Consider the following 13,397-nt stretch of genomic DNA (forward strand, 5'->3'; position numbering starts at 1 on the left):
GACCACTCCTCCACAATAAAAGCACTGTGAGGCTCACGTGGTGTCGATGAACATGGAGAATCCAGACACAAAACAGTGCCTGCGGTGCCGTCCGTCGACATCAGCTCTGAGACGGGCAAGGCCTAGTCCAGGAGGCAGCACGGGGTGCGGGGGGGGACCCACAGAGAGGCAGCACGGGGTCCAGGAGGCAGCACGGGGTGTGGGGGGTACCCAACGCGGAGGCACCACGGGGTGCCGGGGGGGACCCAACGCGGAGGCAGCACGGGGTGTGGGGGGGACCCAACGCGGAGGCAGCACGGGGTGTGGGGGGGACCCAACGCGGAGGCAGCACGCGGTGCCGGGGGGACCCACATGGAGGCAGCACGGGATGCCGGGGGGACCCACATGGAGGCAGCACGCGGTGCCGGGGGGACCCACATGGAGGCAGCACGCGGTGCCGGGGGGACCCACATGGAGGCAGCACGGGGTGCCGGGGGGACCCACATGGAGGCAGCACGCGGTGCCGGGGGGACCCAACGCGGAGCGGACTCGCAGGGCCTGTGCTTTTTCCTTTGGAAATGAGATCTCGGTTTTAAAATAGTTACAGATATCCACTAAGAATTCATTCCCTTGAAGTCCAGTAACTCCTGTTAGGGATATTTATCAACAAGCCAGCGTGGAATGTAAATATTTACTCAATCTCTGGAAGCCGTGTAATCACCAGGTGTTTGTAAGGATTCCCACTGACGGGAGATTAGAAGGGACTTTGGTTCGATTCTCTGTGCCAGGGATGACCCTGAAGAGGCCCCTGAGGAAGCGAAACCCTCCCCTGCCCAGCTGCAGAAGGATCGCGCCGCCGGGTCTCCTGCGGTGTGGACGGGCCTCTCCAGTGTGTGCCAGCCTCCAATACCCCCGCGTCACCTGCGGTGTGGACGGGCCTCTCCAGTGTGTGCCAGCCTCCAATACCCCCGCGTCACCTGCGGTGTGGACGGGCCTCTCCAGTGTGTGCCAGCCTCCAATACCCCCGCGTCACCTGCGGTGTGGACGGGCCTCTCCAGTGTGTGCCAGCCTCCAATACCCCCGCGTCACCTGCGGTGTGGACGGGCCTCTCCAGTGTGTGCCAGCCTCCAATACCCCCGCGTCACCTGCGGTGTGGACGGGCCTCTCCAGTGTGTGCCAGCCTCCAATACCCCCGCGTCACCTGCAGTATGGATGGGCCTCTCCAGTGTGTGCCAGCCTCCAATACCCCTGTGTCACCTGCGGTGTGGATGGGCCTCTCCAGTGTCTGCCAGCCTCCAATACCCCCGCGTCACCTGCGGTGTGGACGGGCCTCTCCAGTGTGTGCCAGCCTCCAATACCCCCGCGTCACCTGCGGTGTGGACGGGCCTCTCCAGTGTGTGCCAGCCTCCAATACCCCCGCGTCACCTGCGGTGTGGACGGGCCTCTCCAGTGTGTACCAGCCTCCAATACCCCCATGTCTCCTGCGGTGTGGACGGGCCTCTCCAGTGTGTACCAGCCTCCAATACCCCCGCGTCACCTGCGGTGTGGATGGGCCTCTCCAGTGTGTTCCAGCCTCCAATACCCCCGTGTCACCTGCGGTGTGGACGGGCCTCTCCAGTGTGTGCCAGCCTCCAATACCCCCATGTCTCCTGCGGTGTGGACGGGCCTCTCCAGTGTGTACCAGCCTCCAATACCCCCGCGTCACCTGCGGTGTGGACGGGCCTCTCCAGTGTGTGCCAGCCTCCAATACCCCCGCGTCACCTGCGGTGTGGACGGGCCTCTCCAGTGTGTGCCAGCCTCCAATACCCCCATGTCTCCTGCGGTGTGGACGGGCCTCTCCAGTGTGTACCAGCCTCCAATACCCCCGCGTCACCTGCAGTATGGATGGGCCTCTCCAGTGTGTGCCAGCCTCCAATACCCCTGTGTCACCTGCGGTGTGGATGGGCCTCTCCAGTGTCTGCCAGCCTCCAATACCCCCGCGTCACCTGCGGTGTGGACGGGCCTCTCCAGTGTGTGCCAGCCTCCAATACCCCCGCGTCACCTGCGGTGTGGACGGGCCTCTCCAGTGTGTGCCAGCCTCCAATACAGTCTTGTCCTTCAACGAGGTCTTAGGGACAAGGTACAGGGGCAATTATCTTGCATTCACAGCAACAAATAAGTCAGTATGATGAACTTTCTACTGTGGTCAGCTGGAAAATTTCATCCTTGTCAGCGGGCACACAAAGACCTTCCTTAGTTCCCAGTTAAAAAGAAAAGGAAAAACAGGAACTGTCGGCCCGGGTGTGTGCATGTAGCCCAGGGGCCCCACAAAGACTGACCCGGCTTCCATCCCTGAGGCCCCGCAGAGACTGTCCCGGCTTCCATCCTGAGGCCCGCAGAGCACTAGGCTGGGGGTGCGCCTGGGCAGGAGGCTGCACGGCAAAGGCACGGGGTGTGCCATGGAGTTTCCCCGGGAGCCGCAGCCCTGCCCACTCTACAGGGCCCCCGGGAAGTGACTGCCTTGCCAGACAACGGAATCCAGGGCCCAGCCACGGACAATCAGGGGAAGGCGTGGAGGGAGCGAGGAGAGACGGGAGCCGGGCATTGGAGGGATTACCAGGTTTGGGGTCCTGCAGGCAGAATTCAGGCGGCGGGGTGGGGACGCATCGCCCCCATAGTGAGCAGGGTCCATGCAGTGCAGCCCAACGGGGGCTTTGTCCTAAGGACTGTGGGCAGCTGCTGAGGGCGTTTGGGAACACCCCTCCCGGAGGGGTGAGGCGGCCCAGCCTGCGGCTGCCAGAGGACACAGGTTCTGCTGCGGAACCTGCAGACATGGCCATAACAGGCCACAGTGCTCGGGCCCACACAGCCTGGACCCACATGGCCCTGTGTCACCTCCTCAGGGGCAGGCTTCAGGGCCTCGACCCTAGAGGCTGCCCCTCGGTTCTGCTCCATGGACGGCGCAGGCAGGCCCAGGCCTGTGACGAGTTCACGGAAGCTCCAGGATGACCCCCGCTCTGCGCCCTCCTCCAGCATTCCAGACCACAAACCACTCTGGGCTAAAACGAGGCATCGCCAGAGCATCCCACTTCCTCGGAAAGCTGCGGTCTGGGGACGCGTCTTGGCCCTGAAGAGGCTCCAGATGGCTCCCATCAGGCCTCTCCGCCTACGTGCGGCCGACATGGAGTGACAGAGCGTCGGGGACACAGAATTCAGAGCTGGGCCTGGGGCTGCTTTGAGATACTGATGGCTGCCAGGGGGCACAGAGACCCGTCCTGCAGACAGGGCTGTGAGGGCCACAGGGGGCCTCGGGGAGAGGCAGTGGGAGGGAGGACAGTGGGGGCCTCCAGCTGGGTGAGCAGCTGGAGCGAGGGGGGCCCGGGGCTTGTGATGGTGCTGCCGACCCTAGAGGTGCCGGCCCCACGATGGAGAGCACGTAGTGCCCCCCGGGAGTCAGGAGGCCGGGCCTGACCTCGGGGGCTGCAGCCAGGGGAGGCCGGCACCCCAGATAACCCCCAAAGAACTGCAGGCCCTGAGGCGAGGCCAGAGTGGGGGCGGGGGCAGGTCCCAGCCGAGGAGGTGCTCCGTGCTGCCTCAGCAGAACCCATGATGGGCTGGCCCAAGGCTCTGAAGGTGGAAAGGCCTCACACATTCTGCCCCGGCTGACGCCTTCCTTGGGCCAGTGCTCGGGGGTGTGTAACAAACGCCAAGACGCATTGTAAAGAAGGAAGCCTGCGTTTCCATCACCGGCTTAATATCAAACAAAAGTGCAATTTTGAAAATGTAGTCCAAGGTTTTCTGTGGTGCGGAAATGGCCAGGCCAGACCTCCGTGGGTGGTCCTTCGTGTCCACGTCAGCGCCCTACATCCACACTGTGGGCACCATGACCTCACATGCGGAGCGGAGCAGGGCCGGCGCCCGGAGAGCCAGGCTGGTCACGAACGAGGCCTAGAGGGCGTCAGGCCCCAAAGCACTCACAGGCTTCTCCTCTGTCCTCGGGGCCTTCAGACACCTGCATGCGCCGATTCAGCCACCCGCGCGCGCCGATTCCCCTGGCCATGGGGTTTCCAAAGTGTGTGCTCAGAGGACAGTTTCCTCCAGGATGACCTGTCAGTGGCTCTCTGTGCCGGGGACGTCGCGTGCTGGGTCCCGGTCTGAATGCTTCCTAACGATTTACCCAGTTCCTTTTCTCCACTCAGGAGGCGTTTGCTGAGAGGCACAGGCTGAGCCCCCGTGCTGATGCCACGACCGAGGGAACGGGTCTCCCTGTCGGCGTGAACTGACCCGGCCAGGCGTCCACTGCCACTCGGACTGTCTCCCAGGCACGTGGCGCCCACACGGGCAGAACACGCCCTCCACACACGCGGCTTCGGGCAGAACACGAGGCGCCCTCCACACACGCGGCTTCGGGGCTTGTCATGAAAAAAGCTGAATGCTGGGGGTGCAGCTTTCACCAACAGAATCCCGTTTGGAAGGGACGCGGTGAGACATGATCCACCCTAAGTTGTGATCCTGGGTGAGCCGCCGTCCACACCCTGCTGAGGGTCCCTTCACCCACTTTATTCTCCAGAAAACCCTGCCCATCAGGGCTGAGTCCCACGCCTTCCCTCTCCGTCCAGGCCTGGCTTTGACCTCTGGGGTCGTGTGGGGCACAGGGGACACCCTATCCAGGCAGAGGCCCTACGGCTATCTGGAGGAAGTGGTGGGAGCTGGGCTTCTGCCTGGAGGATGCACCCAGAGGGGTCACAGTCCACACAGAGACACACGGGTGCCTTCCAGATGGCTGAGCCAGTCCAGCCCAGAAGGGCCTGGGGGTTGGGGGCTGCACCTGGCCTGTCCCCACCAGCAGGGCTCAGGGCTTCCCAAGGTGTGTGGGGGACGGGGCAGCACCTCTCAACCAGGTCACCTGAAACCCGAACTGAAAGGCATCCTAAGTTAAGACATTAACTCCCATTGTCAAGGTGCCATCGTCAATTCTGTCTCCAAATCCTTCTTTGTTATTTCATGTATTCACAGAGTGACGCTCCGTGTTTCGTTCAGCCTGCAGGCCTGCAGAAGCTGCATCTCGGGATGGCCAAGAGCCCGGCCAGGCCCCACGGCTGCACCCAGGACGGGATTCATGCCCCATGCCTGGCTTCTCACGACCACAGAGTGCCTTTCCCGGGACTGGATGGAGGCAGAGTGAGAGAAGAGCCTGGAGCAAGTGTTTTGGACCACAGTGATCAAACACGGAGCCCGTGGGAGGACGTGGGAGGACGTGCGGGGCTTTGCCGGGCGAGCCCGATGCTGCTCACGGCACCTGGAGTGTTCGGGCCGCTATTTGGGCGGTGTTCTGAGCAGCCGTCAGACCTTGAGTTTTGCTGTCAAAAGCTCTTCTCTCCTGCCCCGAAATATACCCAGTCCATGCCCCAAGAGGAAAGGCCTTTGTGCCAGGTGGGCACCCGGCTGCCTCTTGGCAAAGACTTGTTGGAAAAATGAGTGAGTGACGAGGCTGCTGGTCAGCGTGTGGCCTGTGGCGTCACTGGGGCCTCTGGCGGCTGCTGGAACCAGAAGAGGAGCCTGCGCTGCAACCCAGGCCGCACCACATCAGGGTCTCACTGGGAGCCGGAGAGCTTGTTCCCAGGCAACCCTGAAACAGAGAAGTGTCCTTGGAGGCTTCACCCACGCAGACCCACGGCTTCCTGGTAGAAGCCGTCTGCACCCCCGCACTGACCTGGCTCTGTGAGGAGAGCGGGGAGGGGCTCCAGGGAAACATCCTGGCGTTGGCGTAGCCAGCCTGTGAGTCACGGGGAAGCCGGCTGCCCGGATGCCCCCCAAGGACCCGGTGAGTCCACACACAGTACAGCAGGGCCTGGGCCCGCACCACCGCCTTTTCCTGCAGGCCCCTCATGTCCACTGACTGCACCTCCAGGGACTCTGCCCGGCAACCCAGGCGCCCCCGACACACCCCACCACACAGCTCCTTCTGCCTCACCCACACCCCGCCAGACCCTGAGCGCTCACGAAGTCTCCTTGTCAAGAACTTTGAGAGCCAGTTGCTAAACACAGATGTTATTTATTTATTTGAGACAGAGTCTTGCTCTGTCACCCAGGCTGGAGTGCAGTGGCACGATCTCAGCTCACTGCAGCCTTGGCCTCCCGGGTTCCAGCGATTCTCCTGCCTCAGCCTCCTGGGTAGCTGGGATTGCAGGTGGCCACCACGCCCAGCTAGTTTTTGTATTTTTAGTAGAGACGGGGTTTCGCCAAGTTGGCCAGGCTGGTCTCAAACTCCTGACCTCAGGTGATCTGTCAGCCTCAGCCTCCCAAAGTGCTGGGATTACAGGCGTGAGCCACCGCACCCGGGCTACAGATGTTATTTTTAAAATTACATAAACTTACAATTAAATACATTAAGTTAAATACCATGGTCACAAAGGTGCCTTCTGCCTCTGCATCTGCGCGGTGGAAACACCACTGCAGCGTTCAGGAGCTTCCTGAGGTGGTGTGTTCCCAGCTGGAATCAGCACTCGCGACGAATCCCAGGTGCTCTTCCTCAGGGCCAGTGGGTAAACAGTTACCAGCATGGTAGGCCTCACCACACCCCACCGCTGCCACCCGCGAGCCAGCCACGTCCCGCCCTCCACCCTCCCTCCAGCCCTTCCCAGGACCCTCTGCGTGTCCCTGGTCCTCGCGGCCTGCATCTGAGCGAGGCCCCCTCCATCCTCCCTCCAGCCTCTCCCAGGACCCTCTGCATGTCCCTGGTCCCCGTGGCCTGCATCTGAGCGAGTCTCCCGGGGGCTGCACAGCTGTCCCTGGGCCTTCAGCTTCTGACCGTCTCTTTGCTGCAGCTGGAGCCCTTTCTTGGGCACCTGCGCACACTCAGGGCTTCCACCCCAGATCTGGCGTCCCCCAGAGCAGCTCTGTCTTTGAAATCTTCTCCTTGGGGTGTCCTCTGTGAACACCCTCACTTCACCTCTGGCACCAGGGCCGCTGAGTGACCAACCTCTCCTCCTGGGGGTTCAGCTCCCTCTGGTTTCAGTCCCTCCCCACCCAGCGGGGACACGGCCACTCACTTCCAGGTGGGCTCCCCAGCCGAGGTCAGTCCCCAGGCCAGGGAAGACAGGCTGGGCGCAGGGACCAGGGGGGCCTGTGGGGGATCGTGGCAGGGAACGATGGCACTGCGGCCGCACCGTCAAAGCCCACAGGCCTTCTTCTCCATCATAGGTGGGCCGTTCAGCTGCGGCTGGGGTCCCAGGGCCTCCGAGATCCCTCTTTTCCATTCCCCACAGCATGGGCTCTGAGCCTTCCTCCTCCCACGCCTGTTTCCACCCCAGCCCAGCTCCCTTGTTCTCAGCAGAGGGCCATGAACTGTGAGCCTCTCTTGTGTGTTTGAGGGTGCCATGTGGTGGGACTTGGCTGTGTCCCCAGCCAGTCTCTCCGGGAATTGTAATCATCCCCACACGTCAAGGGCGGGGCCAGGTGGAGATAATTGAATCATGAGGGCGGTTTCCCCCGTACTGTTCTCGTGGTAGTGAATAAGTCTCGTGAGATCTGATGGTTTTATAAAGAGGAGTTCCCCTACACAAGCTCTCTTGTCTGACACCACGTAAGATGGCGCCTTTGCTTCTCCTTCACCTTCCTCCATGACTGTGAGGCCTCCCCAGCCATGTGGAACTGTGAGTCCATTAAGCCTCTTTCCTTCATAAATTACCCGGTCTCAGGTATGTCTTTATTAGCAGTGTGAGAACAGACAAATACACAGGGGAGGTTGGCCCACATGCTGCCGACCGACATCATCTGTTTAAAGCTGACTCCTTGAAAATCAGCTGTGAGTAAAGGGGGCGTTCCAAACTCAGGCCCTTAGAGCCAGCGTGTGTGGCCCAGTAGCCAGAGCACAGTATGCCTCTCGGCCAGTGGGACCAGGGGCTGGGGCAGACCCCGAGCTGGAGCCTGCATCCAGCCCCCGAACGTTCTCCCACTGCCATCTACTTGGCCAAGAGGTACCTGACCAAGCTTGGTACCTTGGAGAATGCCACAAATAAAAATTAGCCCAGCGGGGTTCCGGCATCTACTTACTGCAAACCCTCACTTCCTTCACACGTGTCTCTGCAGGCAGGTCTGGTCTGGGGAGTTTCTGCCCATATCACAGGCAGAGTCTGACCCTCCAATCCTTCTCTCATTCTCAGGTTCACAAAGCTGAGTGAAGTCCAAACAGGAAAAGCCCAAATAGAGCCACACTCAGACACACCACAACTCAGACACATCACAACTCGGACACACCACAACTCAGACACACCACAACTCAGACACACCACAACTCGGACACACCACAACTCGGACACACCACAACTCGGACACACCACAACTCGGACACACCACAACTCGGACACACCACAACTCGGACACACCACAACTCGGAAACATCACAACTGAGACACACCACAACTCAGAAACACCACAACTCAGACACACCACAACTCAGACACATCACAACTCAGACACACCACAACTCAGACACACCACAACTCAGAAACATCACAACTCAGACACACCACAACTCAGACACACCACAACTCAGAAACATCACAACACAGACACATCACACACTCAAGACACATCACAACCTAACTTCTGAAAACTAAAGACAAAAATATAAAAGAACAACAATTGAAATGACTGCAAATTTCCCATTAGAAACCATGGAAGCAGCTGCGCACAGTGGCTCACACCTGTAATCCTAACACTTTGGGAGACTGAGGCAGATGGATATCACCTGAGGCCAGGAGTTCGAGGCCAACCTGGCCAACATGGCAAAAGCCCATCTCTACTAAAAATGCAAAAATTAGCCAGGTGTGGTGCACACCTGTAGTCCCAGATACTTAGGAGACTGAGGCAGGAGAATCACTTAAACCTCAGAGGCGGAGGCTGCAGTGAGCCAAGATCGCGCCACTGCACTCCAGCCTGCGCAACGGAGTGAAAAGAAAAAAGAAAAAAAGAAACCATGGAAGCCAGGAAAAAGTGGCACTTTGAGACGGAGCCTTGGCTCACTGCAGCCTCCGCCTCCCAGGTTGAAACAATTCTCCTTCCTCAGCCTCCTGAGTAGCTGGGATTACAGGCGCCTGCAACCACGCCCAGCTAATTTTTATATTTTTAGTACAGACGGAGTTTCACCATGTTTGCCATGCTGGTCTCAAACTCCTGACCTCAGGTGATACGCCTACCTCAGCCTCCCAAAGTGCTGGGATTACAGGCATGAGCCACTACGCCCAACCTGGCACATTGTTTAATTGCTGAAAGAAAATAATTATCAGTTCAGGAGTCTATATCCAGCAAAAATATCCTTCAGGGATGAGGGTGAAATGGAGACATTCTCAGATGAAGAAAAACTAAGAAAATTTGCTGCCAGCACATATACCCTAAAAGAATGCCTAAAAGAGTTTTTTCAGATAGAAAAACATCAGGAATGAAGGAAGAGCAACAAAAATGATAAATATTGAGGAAATGTAATAGACTGTTCTTCAGTTCTTTAAAATAATGTTTGATGATGAAAAGCAAGTACTGTAGTATTGTTGGGCGGAGTTTCAGCACATGCAGATGTATCAACTAAGACGGACTGCAGCATGAAAGATGCAGGTCCAGGAAGCTACACGGTGGCAAGAGTTCCACAAAACACTTGAAATGCTAAAATACTGATTCCAAGGAGACTGTGAAAGGTGAAGTATGCATATGGTAATCCCCAGAAAACCAGTAAATATTCTACAGAGCTATATCATCAACAACACAATAGGTAGCTTAACATACTGAAAAATGTTCAAATAACCAAAAGACAGGAATGAAAAGACAAAAGAACAAAAAAATGGAGGAAATAAGCAGAAAACAAATAATAAAATGGTAGGTTTGAATCCAAACATATCAATAATGACATTAAATGTAACTGGTCTAAATTAAAAGACAGAGACCTGGTGCCATGGCTCGTACCTGTCATCCCAGCACTTTGGGAGGCCAAGGCAAGAGGATCACTTGAGGCCAGGAGTTCAAGACCAGCCTGGGCAATACAGTGGGACGCTGTCTCTACAGATTTTTTTTTTAATTACCCAGGCATATGGTGTGCGCCTGTGGTCCCAGCTAGTCAGGAGGCCAGGGTGGGAGGATCGCTTGAGCCCAGGAGGTCGAGGCTGCAGTGATGTGATCATGATACTGTACTCCGGCCTGGGCAACAGAGTGAGACCGTATCTCTACAAAAAAAATTAAAAATTAAAAAAGACAGATGGTCACAATGGATTTCTTTAAATGACCCACCTATATTTCTACCCTCAAGAAACTCACTTCAAAGATAATATTGGTAGGTCAGTGTTAAAAGGATAGAAAAAGATATATCATCATGCAGGCACAAATTTTAATAAACTGAACTGCCTATATTAATATCAGATAAAGTGGACTTCAGAGAAAAGAAAATTATCGGCAGCAAAGAGGTAAATTACGTGATGATAAAAGGGTCAATTCAGCCTGTAATCTCAGCACTTTGGGAGAGGATGGTCATCGAGACCATCCTGGCTAACACGGTGAAACCTCGTCTCTACTGAAAATACAAAAAAAAAAAAAAAAAGCCGGGCATGGTGGCGGGCGCTGTAGTCCCAGCTACTCGGGAGGCTGAGGCAGGAGAATGGCGTGAACCTGGGAGGTGGAGCTTACAGTGAGCAGAGATCACGCCACTGCACTCCAGCCTGGGCGACAGAGCGAGACTCTGTCTGAAAAAAAAAAAAAAAGGGTCAATTCACCAAAAAGATATAACAATCCTGAGTGTGTGTACAACTTAGAACACAGGTTCCAAGTATGTGAAGCAAAACCCATGAGACAGAAATGGAATAAATCCGGAATTATAGTTGGAGACCTCAACACTTCTGTCCCAGAGCAAACAGACAGAAAATCATCAAGGGCATAGAACTGAACATCACCATCAACCAACTTGATCTAATTGAATTTATGGAACACTCCACCCAACCAGAGCAGAAAACAAAGACTTCTCAAGGGCACCTGGAACATTTACCAAGAGAGGCGGGTGATGCCCAGAGTCATTAAAAAATCTTAGGCCAGCCAGGCGTGGTGTCTGGTGCCTGTAATCCTGGCACTTTGGGAGGACAAGGTGGGAGGATTGCTTGAGGCCAGGAGTTCAAGGCCAGCCTGGGTGACATAGTGAGACCCTGTCTCTATTTTTTTTAATCTTAAATAAATCTGAAAGAAATGAATCATACGAAGTATGTTCTCTGATTATAATGAAATTAAACTAGTTATAACAGAGATACATGCTTAAAAGTTAAGCACTGTACTGCTTAAAAGCTGGTTAAAAGTTAAGCACCGTACCACTAAATAATCCAGAAAGAGAAAGTCTCTAGGGAATTTAAAGATAATATTTAACTGAACAAAAATGAAAATATATAAAAACCTGAAGTATGTAACTAAAGTAGTGATTGGAGGAAAAGTTACAACACTAAATGTCTATATTACGAAAGAAGAAAGATCTCAAAAGAATAATCCAAGCTTTCACCTCAAGAAATTATTTTGAGACAGCAAAATAAACCCAAAGCAAGTAGAACAAAGGAACAGAAATCAATGAAACTTAAAACATGATGGAGAAAATCAGTGGAAAGAGAGCTGGTTTCTGAGACAATTAATAAAATCATAAAACTTTAGCAAAATTGACAAAAAATGAGAGAATAAATAATATCAGGAATAAAAGAAGGGATATCAAAATTATAGACTCTGTAGACGTTAAAAGGAAAACAGAATACTACAAATCTACACACACAGATTCAACACATTGCATGAAATTAACCAATTACTCAAAAACAGCAAGCTACCAAAACATCTCCAAGTGGAACAGATAATCCAAATAGTTCTATAACTCTTAAATAAATGGAATTTCTTTAATAAATTCCTTAGTTAACATGCCTTCCAAAAAAGAAATATCCAGGCCCGGATGGTTTCACCATCTGGTGAATTCTACCAAACATTTAAAGAGGAAATAGTACCAATTCCATCTAATATCTTCCAGAAAATAGAAGAAAGAGCACTTCCTGTGTGATTATATGAAACCAATATTACCCTGACACCAAAAGAAGACAAAAACAACATTTTAAAATGGCACACTAATATCTGTCATGAACAAAGATGCAAAAATCATCAACAAACTTAGCAAATCGAATACAGAAATATATAAAAATAATTATAAGCCATGATCATGTAGGATTTATTCCAGGAATGCAAATGCTCTTCGACAGTTGACGGGGTAAATAAACTTGGACATCCACACAGGGAATACTACTCGGTAACATGAAGGAACAACTATTGAGACATGCAACAATTTAATGGATCTTAAATGCATTATACTCAATGAAAAAGGCCAATCTCTCTCTCTCTTTTTTTCTCTCTCTCTATATGTATATATTTTATCCTATATAGTTTCATTTACATAATATTCTTGAAATAACAAAGTTGTAGAGCTAGAGAACAGATAAGTAGTTGCCAGGGGTTAGGGTTTGAGGCAGAATGTGACTGAAAAATGAATGAAAAAGTCATATATCCCGACTGTGATCATAGCTGCACAAATCCATAAGTTTGTGAACTACGAACAGAAAAAATACATGTGAAAAACTGACAAAATCTGAACAAGATCTGTAGCTCAGTGAACAGTTTGGTACCAATGTCAGTTTCTTGGTTTTGATATGCTTTGATTTTGATAGTTATGTAGATAATATTGAAAGCACTGGTTGAAGAGCATATGAGAACTCTGTACGTTCTTTGCAACTTCTCTGTGAGCTCTAAAATTATTTCAAAATTCAAACTTTTTTTAAAAAAAAGGCTGGGTATGGTGGCTTCTGCCTGTAATCCCAGGACTTTGGGAGGCCGAGGTGGGAGGATTGCTTGAGCCCAGGAGTTCAAGGTGAGCCTGGGCAACATGGCAAAACCTCATCTCTAAAAAAAAATACAAAAAGTTAAAAAAAAAAAGGGGGGGAGAAATAATTAGAACAGATACTGCCTGAAAGAAGATACACATGCAATTGGCCAGTGAGCTCAGGAACCAGAGCTCAGACCCAACCACCATCAGGGACACCCAGAGGAGAACCGCGATCAGAGCCCACGGCACACCCACAACCATAGTGGAAACTTCAGGCAAGTGTTTACTGAGGATGTGGAAGAATCGGAACTCTCAGGCACCACTTGTGAGAATGTAAGATGGTGCAACCGCCCTGGGAAACCAGCAGCTTCACAGGAAGTTAAACACGCAACTGCCTCGTACCCCGGCCACTCGAGTCCACGCGTTTACCCACAAGAAACAGAAGGACACATCCTCACCAAGGCTCAGGCCCAAGTGTTCACAGCAGGCTTCATCACAATGGACCCCAAACCAGAGCAACTGTGGCACAGCCATGCCAGGGGACATTCGGCAATCACAGGTGTTT

At 53.6% G+C, this 13,397-nt stretch overlaps 1 long non-coding RNA gene across 2 annotated transcripts, besides 1 other annotated feature; it reads left to right on the top strand.

The window, feature by feature from the left end:
* Positions 1-481: 481 nt before the first annotated feature.
* LOC105372842 (proline-rich protein 36-like) lies at positions 482-6,075 on the top strand. 2 transcript variants are annotated; one of them, XR_001755088.2, is made up of 3 exons: positions 482-2,578; positions 4,158-4,440; positions 4,975-6,075. It is a non-coding gene; the product is annotated as a proline-rich protein 36-like (long non-coding RNA). The 2 variants fall into 2 exon arrangements; XR_937804.2 differs by lacking the exon at positions 482-2,578 and adding an exon at positions 3,363-4,067.
* Positions 5,427-6,069: an enhancer, noted in NCBI's record as "H3K27ac-H3K4me1 hESC enhancer chr21:47458799-47459441 (GRCh37/hg19 assembly coordinates)". NCBI's record gives its function as "activates a minimal SCP1, AML or CMV promoter by ChIP-STARR-seq in naive H9 embryonic stem cells {active_cell/tissue: H9 hESC(naive)}" and the evidence as "EXISTENCE:reporter gene assay evidence [ECO:0000049][PMID:30033119]".

Source organism: Homo sapiens, chromosome 21 (assembly GCF_000001405.40).
Source record: "Homo sapiens chromosome 21, GRCh38.p14 Primary Assembly".
In the NCBI taxonomy this organism is placed as follows: domain Eukaryota; kingdom Metazoa; phylum Chordata; class Mammalia; order Primates; family Hominidae; genus Homo; species Homo sapiens.